Source organism: Homo sapiens, chromosome 8 (genome assembly GCF_000001405.40).
Source record: "Homo sapiens chromosome 8, GRCh38.p14 Primary Assembly".
Classification (NCBI taxonomy): domain Eukaryota; kingdom Metazoa; phylum Chordata; class Mammalia; order Primates; family Hominidae; genus Homo; species Homo sapiens.
The window spans coordinates 8,545,859-8,553,244 of record NC_000008.11 but is presented as its reverse complement, the minus strand read 5'-3'; the positions used below and the strand labels follow the sequence as shown (position 1 = coordinate 8,553,244).

Here is a 7,386-nt window from a genome sequence, read left to right as displayed (position 1 = left end):
TAAAGGAACTGCAACATTTGATATGAAATAAGATCTTGTTCTAGCAAGGAAATGAGTGCTCTCACTACTGTTTTAAATGATTCCAGCAGGCAGGGTTTGAATTCACTGGTGCTGCTGGCTGCTAACTTTGCAGACATTAAGATCGAGAACACGGCCCCTCCCACCCTCTTCTTCCCTTCTCTTGGCCTTCTTTTTACCATTTAAGATACAATGACCCTGAGAACGTGAAGAAACTTTATAGTTTGTCTAATCTAATGCTTTCACTTACAGATGAAGGAATCAAGACTCAGAGATTAAGTGATTTGCCAGAGGTCCCTAGTAAATTTCAGGGTTGAACTCATGCCTTGGCTCTTTAAATAATAACCTCTTTATGCTGTTATGAACCTGACAAAAGGTGTGTAAGGTGGCTTAGGAATATAAAAACTATCATTGGTCAGAACTACTGATTTAAAGCAATGGGAAATATATGATGATCAGAAGATACATTAATTCATTGACAGTACTTCCTGCATACTTCATAAAAGAAAGTTGAAAAAAATGTGAATTTCAGTTATCTGTGAAGAGTAGAGTATGGTGGTTAAACTCAAAATTTGTTCTTTAACATTCATGACACTGAGTAAGCAGAAACTGTATCCAAAATGAAAGACATTCCACAAGACAGCACGGTCACTGATAAAACCAAATTACTGGAACATTTTTCTATGATTTTTAAGTTCAAGGATTTCTGAACCATTTAAAGGGTGAAGGAAGCCCGGTATAATTTTGTCTTACTGTATTTCTTAATACAGCTGTGGTGTCAGAGGAATCCGCTGACTCTCATTGTTGCTCATGCATTTTTAAAAAATTAGTGGACTGTTTTAATTTTAAATATTGTTAGCAATAAAATTCTCATTAGCATTCTAAAGAAATAAGCACCTACCAATAGGTATTTCCTTTATCATCTGGCATTTCTGCAAAATCACATGCAATTTTATGAAAACTGTAAGACAGTCTGACTGATTTTTAACATGCCATATTTGAACTTGACTACTAGTTGTCATTGGTAGATAATCCACTGAATGCAAGAGTAGGCAGAAGGCAATAAGGCACACTAGCAGGGATACATGTGATTTGGGGGAGAATTAATTTTTATCCATTGTTATCTAACCCCCTGGGCCCCAACAAGACTCTGTTCTACTGGCACTGTCTCTTTTTTCTTCTTGTAATGCTGTAGAACATTCTGAGTATAATTTATAACAAAGAGCAATGCAGATAATGGCTCATGCAAGCGCCATAATGTTTAAATCATGGCAGTGACACTTGACAGACGGAAAGGTCAGGAGTTTGTCTTGACAATTACAACAGCTATCTATGTGCTTTTGCCCCAGAATAAAACTCCCTTAATTAATATTCCTTTGGGTTTCAACAGATATAACATTTCAGAGCATACCTGAGCCTCTGGCAACTCTTTTCTTCCTCATCTTAGTCCTCATCCGTCTTAATTATTAGAGAGTTTTAATACCTTATTTCAAAGTCACATCACAGTTATTTATATTGGGCATTGACTGACTGAAAGTGACATGTCCTATGCAGAGTCCTACACAAAGCATTTGTACTGATTTCTAATTTTGGTTCCCTTACTAATTACCTGTCTGATTTGTCAGTGATTTGAACCCTCTGACCTTTCCATTGAAAAGTAAGAGGGTTGGATTAGATGATCTCTAAATTCCCAGCTAGTGTTTACATTCCTAAGGAGTATACACTGATGTGTTGTGCATTTCTGTTATGATTCTAAAATATTGTTAAACTATTTTAGGAGAATGTTTTTGTGCCTGTGTGAGGGATATGTGGAGAAAATAAAGTAATTGCATAAAGATGAAAAAATGAATACAAAAATCCATGGAAGAGATCTGAACTTGGGAGTGAATAAGATGGAATTTTCTGTATCAGTTAGTATTTGGAAGAGGTATTTGGATAGGCCACGAAGGCTTGGACTTGTTGATAGCACACAACAGAGGCAGCTGCCTTCTCAGTCAAAGGGCTGTCCTGTAACTCCTTTCCTCTTTCCGTTTTTAAGTAGGTGAGAGGGTGTGAGAGGAAGTAAAAGGATGGTAATAAATTAGGAGTGGGAGAGGCTGCAGTGAAGCACGATGACAATGAAACTGTTGCCCCAGCCCCTCCACCCCTGCAGTTCTGTGCAACAGAGAAAAGCAAAATACCATAATGGGAGGGCCCTGACCCTCAGAGTTATTTTAGGAGTTTGGCACATGATCCATAGGAAGGGTGGTCTGGTTTCCACAGAACCCACTCAACAGACAGTCTTGTGTAAATAGTTCCTATCATTCCTGCCTTGATGACAGAGTTTGACTGGGTGCATTTTTCAATAAAGGTAGGTAAGGAAGCAAGAGCTTTAAGATTCTTTGTCTGTCACCACATAGAAATCTCAATGAATTCCTCTTACATTCCCACCTCAAACACTTGAGCCAGCTGAACACATCCATCCTATCTCCCACACAACCCACCCAATCAACACAAAACAGAGCACCCAGGACCTTGTACAAAGAAAAGATTGTCCCATAACACCACCCTGTCTCCACTTTGAATTCAAAACACTTTCACAGCAAGACGTCAGCTCTCTCTCCTCTCTAAGCCCTGTAGACTTCAAATGGGATTCCTAGTAATGTATTCATTTTAATAACATTTCATTAAATAAACACTTTTTTACCCATTGAAATAGGTAAAAATGCCTTTTTAAAAAATTGTTTTCAAAAACATTTTTAACTACAACCAGTTACAGAATGCAGGAAGGTGTCTACCTGTGATCCATCTCTGGAAAGAAGAGAACCAGGAAAATTTGGCTTAATTTGTGGCAGAAGGATTTTGAGTGAATATGGAAAAGAATTTTCTGTATAAAGGAAAACTGAAATAGCTCACTGAAGAATGTCAGTCGTTTTCTTCACCCAGAGATGTTTAAGCAAAGAATAACTCATCCACCCCCTTCTCTGCCTGGAAAGAAGAGTCATCCTGTGGGCAACTATGAATCAGCAGCCATGTTGTTGTCCCCACATCCTCCCTGAAGTGGGAGCTGTGTTTGACCCATGCAGGACCACACACCCACACATTCACATACAACTGGAGCCTACTGAGGCCACTGGCAGAGTCTTCACCTCTCTGAAAAAGTAGGAAATAAGAGTGGGTTGAGGCAGATCATTTTTTCTCTGGATAAAAGTCTCATATTATTCCAGAGTCTTGCTTAGTTTAGAGTAGACAGCACTGAACCCACTGAGCAAGACCACACTTATTTGCATTAATTCGTCAGGCCAAGAAAAGCTATGCAACATGCAAGGTATAATAGAGGTGACAAAAAGTGTGATATGCTTCCTCTCTACCTTCAAGGATCACACATATTGTAAAAGCTACGACTAGTAGTGTAAAGCATAATATGAAATGGAGTAAAGGACTAGAACTAAGGAAAGTGTTTTACAGATGAGGGCAGAAGAAAGAGTAAAAAGTATGCCTCCCTAGGGCAGCTTCAGGAGTGGTATGAACAATGCTTCTTCCAAATTTTTTCCCTCTTGCCTTTGGCTCTGGGTTAAAGAAAACACTTAATTTTCCATCCAGAAAAAAAGATGGCTAACTTGTTCGCATGTTTGGATCCCTCCCTGCCCTCCTTCCTCTCTCTGTTGTAATTACAGCTGTTTCTTGTGAACTTCCTGGGCTCCTTAAATGCCGTGGACTGCTGAGAATTTAGACAGAGGCCATCTTCAAAAGAACTATGGTCGCTACAGAACCTGCAACCAATCAGAATGACTTTTCATCTGGATGCAGTCTAACCGGACCGGAAGTCAGCCATGAGCAAACCTGGAAGTGGCTAGACCTAGATGCTGGGTCTTTGTGTTCAGTATCTCTGTGATGAGGATTTGACAAGTCCTGCCTTTCTTTGACACCTAGGTCTGAATTGCATTTGTTATTGAACTGAAAGGTGATTTGCTCCCACACTGAGGAGAGGCACACAAATCAGACAATTGAATGTGAGCTTCCATTATCGGGATCCCCTCCTCCACCCCACTCCCTCACTGTGGGCTTCAGGAAAGTTGACTCAGGGGTCTCTTCAACAAGCTCTTGCGTTTTACTTCCCACAAACAAAAGGAAACTTGACTGCCGCAAAGCTCATCTCAATAAACTCCTCCCAAGAGACCATGTAACCAAAGGACTGCAGGAGGCCTTAGGCAGGCCATTTGGTATATTCAGGTTCCTCCTTGTGAAGAGCGCCCCAGCTCCTTCAAACAACCCCATCTCAGTGCAAGTCCTGTGAATGAACTGCACAGGGGCTCACTCATTCATTTATTCAATGCTGGGTGTTTCAAAGCATTTCCACAGTCCCAGAGAGGCTGCCTGAGCAGGGAGTGCGATCTGGCTGGTCTTGCTCTGCAGTGATTCTCTTTCTGCATGTACTCTGCTGTCTGCTGGAAGTAGAGCCCCAGAAGGTCGTTTGTCTCTTTTGCCACCTGTGGGGAACCTTTGAGGCAGCCCGTGTGATTTGGGTGCCTTGAGTCAATGAACAGCACACTGTTAGTCAGTTGCAATCTCGGTCTCTGTTTCTTTCTCTCTTTCTGTAGAATAATTTTAAAGGGCAGGCTGAGCAGTATCCACTGCACACCCTTTCTCTTTATCAGTCCACTTACAGAAAGAGGAAATGCAGTTTATGCCTTCCACAGCACAGACATGAACAGCCTGCGATTGATTTCATTTATGATCTGGGTTAAGTGGAATGTCTTACTGTATTGTTTATTTAATAACCTTGCTGTACTTTGCAAACTCAGTCAACTACAGCTAATTCCTGCCTAAGAGAACAGCTTCCCTACAGTATCCGTTGATATGAATACACAATATATGTACTTTCACTTTATTCACTTGACTATAATACATGCATACATTCATTTGTGCCAATCTAATCTCCGTGTGGCTTTGAAAATTTGACCTTGATGTTCTCTCTCTCTGTGAAATTATAGTCATATTTATTCTATTTGTGATTGGAGCTAAGGACTGTTACTTTTTTATTATGAGGCTGGAAGAAAGAAATGTTTGATAATAGGTAACAAAATCATACCCTTAAAGTTCACTGTGATAACTAATTTCAATAGAACATTCCAAAATGTTTAAGCAGTTTTTATTTTTAAGGCTTACAATAACATCCAGTTAAACTTCAAAAACATTTAGCTAACATGTAAAGACAGCTTTTTTTTAAAAAAGTACCTACATAAAATTTCCATTACATTATACATGCTGTCTTTACATAAAGATAAAAGGGTACATTTCTTGAATATTACATACCTAGGGACAAAATATCTTTTTGTTATTAAAAAAGCTTATTATAATTTTTGAAATAAACGCATTGATGACTATTTTTAAAGTGTGTCAAATGGTTACTTTTTAAAATAGTCTAGACATTCTGTTTGTATACTCCAGGCTGTTTAATTTCTTGTACTTCACTAGAACTTCCACAGGGGGCCACAAAATTTTGTAAAAATATCTGTGACAAATATGAATATGTTATGTCTAATCTTCAAATGGGAAGGTAAATTAGTCATGTTTCCAAAGATACTTACAGTGGCAGAGCTAGAAAGAATGAGATTTTTTTACTCTATTACACCATTTAATTGCCTGGATGGGTTGATTGATTTCCAGACAAATTTGTTTCTGTTTTTATGATGATTCACTATTGTTTTTTAGGTTAAAATATTTAAAAAAAATAATTTCTGTGTTGTGTTATCCAGTCAATTCCATTTCCACACACTATCATTTTGCCACCTAAATATTTCTTAACAATATTAGATGCTCAGCACTGTGTGAGGAGGAAGCTTGTATTTTTTTCCTTGTGTGTTTAGGGTAGTCTGACTTGCCTTCAAAAATCCATTCTCTCCATATTTTTCTAAATATGCTACTTAGTGAGGCTAAAGCAGAGTATATAGGGAAAGGTAATATTTTACAATCAGATTTTTTTTTTTTTTTTTTGAGACAGAATCTTGCTCTGTCACCCAGGCTTGAGTGCAGTGGCATGATCTCAGCTCACTGCAACCTCTGCCTCCCGGGTTCAAGCAGTTCTCCTGCTTCAGCCTCCCAAGTAGCTGAGACTACAGGTGCACAACACCATGCCCAGCTAATTTTTGTATTTTTAGTAAATACGAAGTTTCACCATGTTGGCCAGATTGATCTTGAACCCCTGTCCCCAGGTGATCCACCCGCGTTGGGTTCCCAAAGTGCTGGGATTACAGGCATGAGCCACTAGGCATGGCCTACAATCAGAACTTTTGATCTTTATGTAGTTTGTGATAAACATTACCAGGCTCCAAGCAAGGCGTGGTCATTGGGCTAAAATGTCCAGCAGCAACCTTTAACTGTGGGCACATATATAAAGATATGGGTCAAGATCATATGAAGAAACAGTGACCATTGGAAATCTCTCTCACCTCCCACCTCCTTTTATGGTTCAGTTCATCCATGCAGACTGCGTGAGATGATGAAGAAAGCCACTGAGTGGGAAAACTTGGCATTCCTATGCATCTTATGATTTTCTTAAAATTTGTATGAATTGTCATTGCAGCAATAGAATATGACTGCACACAACACTTCACAAAATAACAGAGAGAAGAGTTTGATGCTAATTAGTAGTTCTGATTTTTATTTTTCACTTTTATTTATTTTTTTGAGAAAGGGTCTCATTCTGTCACCCAGGCTGGAGTGCAGGGGTGTGGTCTTGGCTTATTGCAACCTCTGCCTTCCGGACTCCAGCAATACTCTCACCTCAGCCTCCTGAGTAGATGGGACCACAGGCACACGCCACCATGCCTCGCTAATTTTTGTATTTTTTGTAGAGACAGGGTTTGCCATGTTGCCCAGGCTAATCTCGAACTACTAGACTCAAGGTTTTCACCCGCCTCAGCCTCCCAAAATGCTGGGATTACAGGTGTGAGCCACTACGCCTGGCCTGGTTCTAATTTTTAAAGAACTAACCCACAGTGACCCATGGCTTATATTACCAATATATAGAATTTCTCTAATAAAGAGACTTGAAGTTGTTCATGCATGAAATAAAAAACATTTCACTAAAAAAAAAAAAAATGAGGCTAAATAGAGCAGACCGGGGTGAGGCAATTAGCACCTGAACTACCAACCAAGCAGTAGAAAATTAAGGGATCGATGGTAGAGATGTTGTAAAAGAATCTTCTGGACTTGGTAACTGAGAGGCCTTGGCAGGGAAGGAGAAGTAAGGGAGAAGGAAGAATAGAACATGAGCCTCAGAGTTTTAAGTGTGCATGACTGTCATTGCCAAAAGAATAACCAAGAATCCATGCAGTTTTTGTAAGGAAAATCTATGAGTGTGGTGTAGACATACTGAATTTAACA

At 39.4% G+C, this 7,386-nt stretch overlaps 2 annotated features.

The window, feature by feature from the left end:
• Positions 2,952-3,091: an enhancer, noted in NCBI's record as "active region_26968". NCBI's record gives its function as "activates an Ori minimal core promoter by ATAC-STARR-seq in GM12878 lymphoblastoid cells {active_cell/tissue: GM12878}" and the evidence as "EXISTENCE:reporter gene assay evidence [ECO:0000049][PMID:35858748]".
• Positions 3,112-3,191: an enhancer, noted in NCBI's record as "active region_26967". NCBI's record gives its function as "activates an Ori minimal core promoter by ATAC-STARR-seq in GM12878 lymphoblastoid cells {active_cell/tissue: GM12878}" and the evidence as "EXISTENCE:reporter gene assay evidence [ECO:0000049][PMID:35858748]".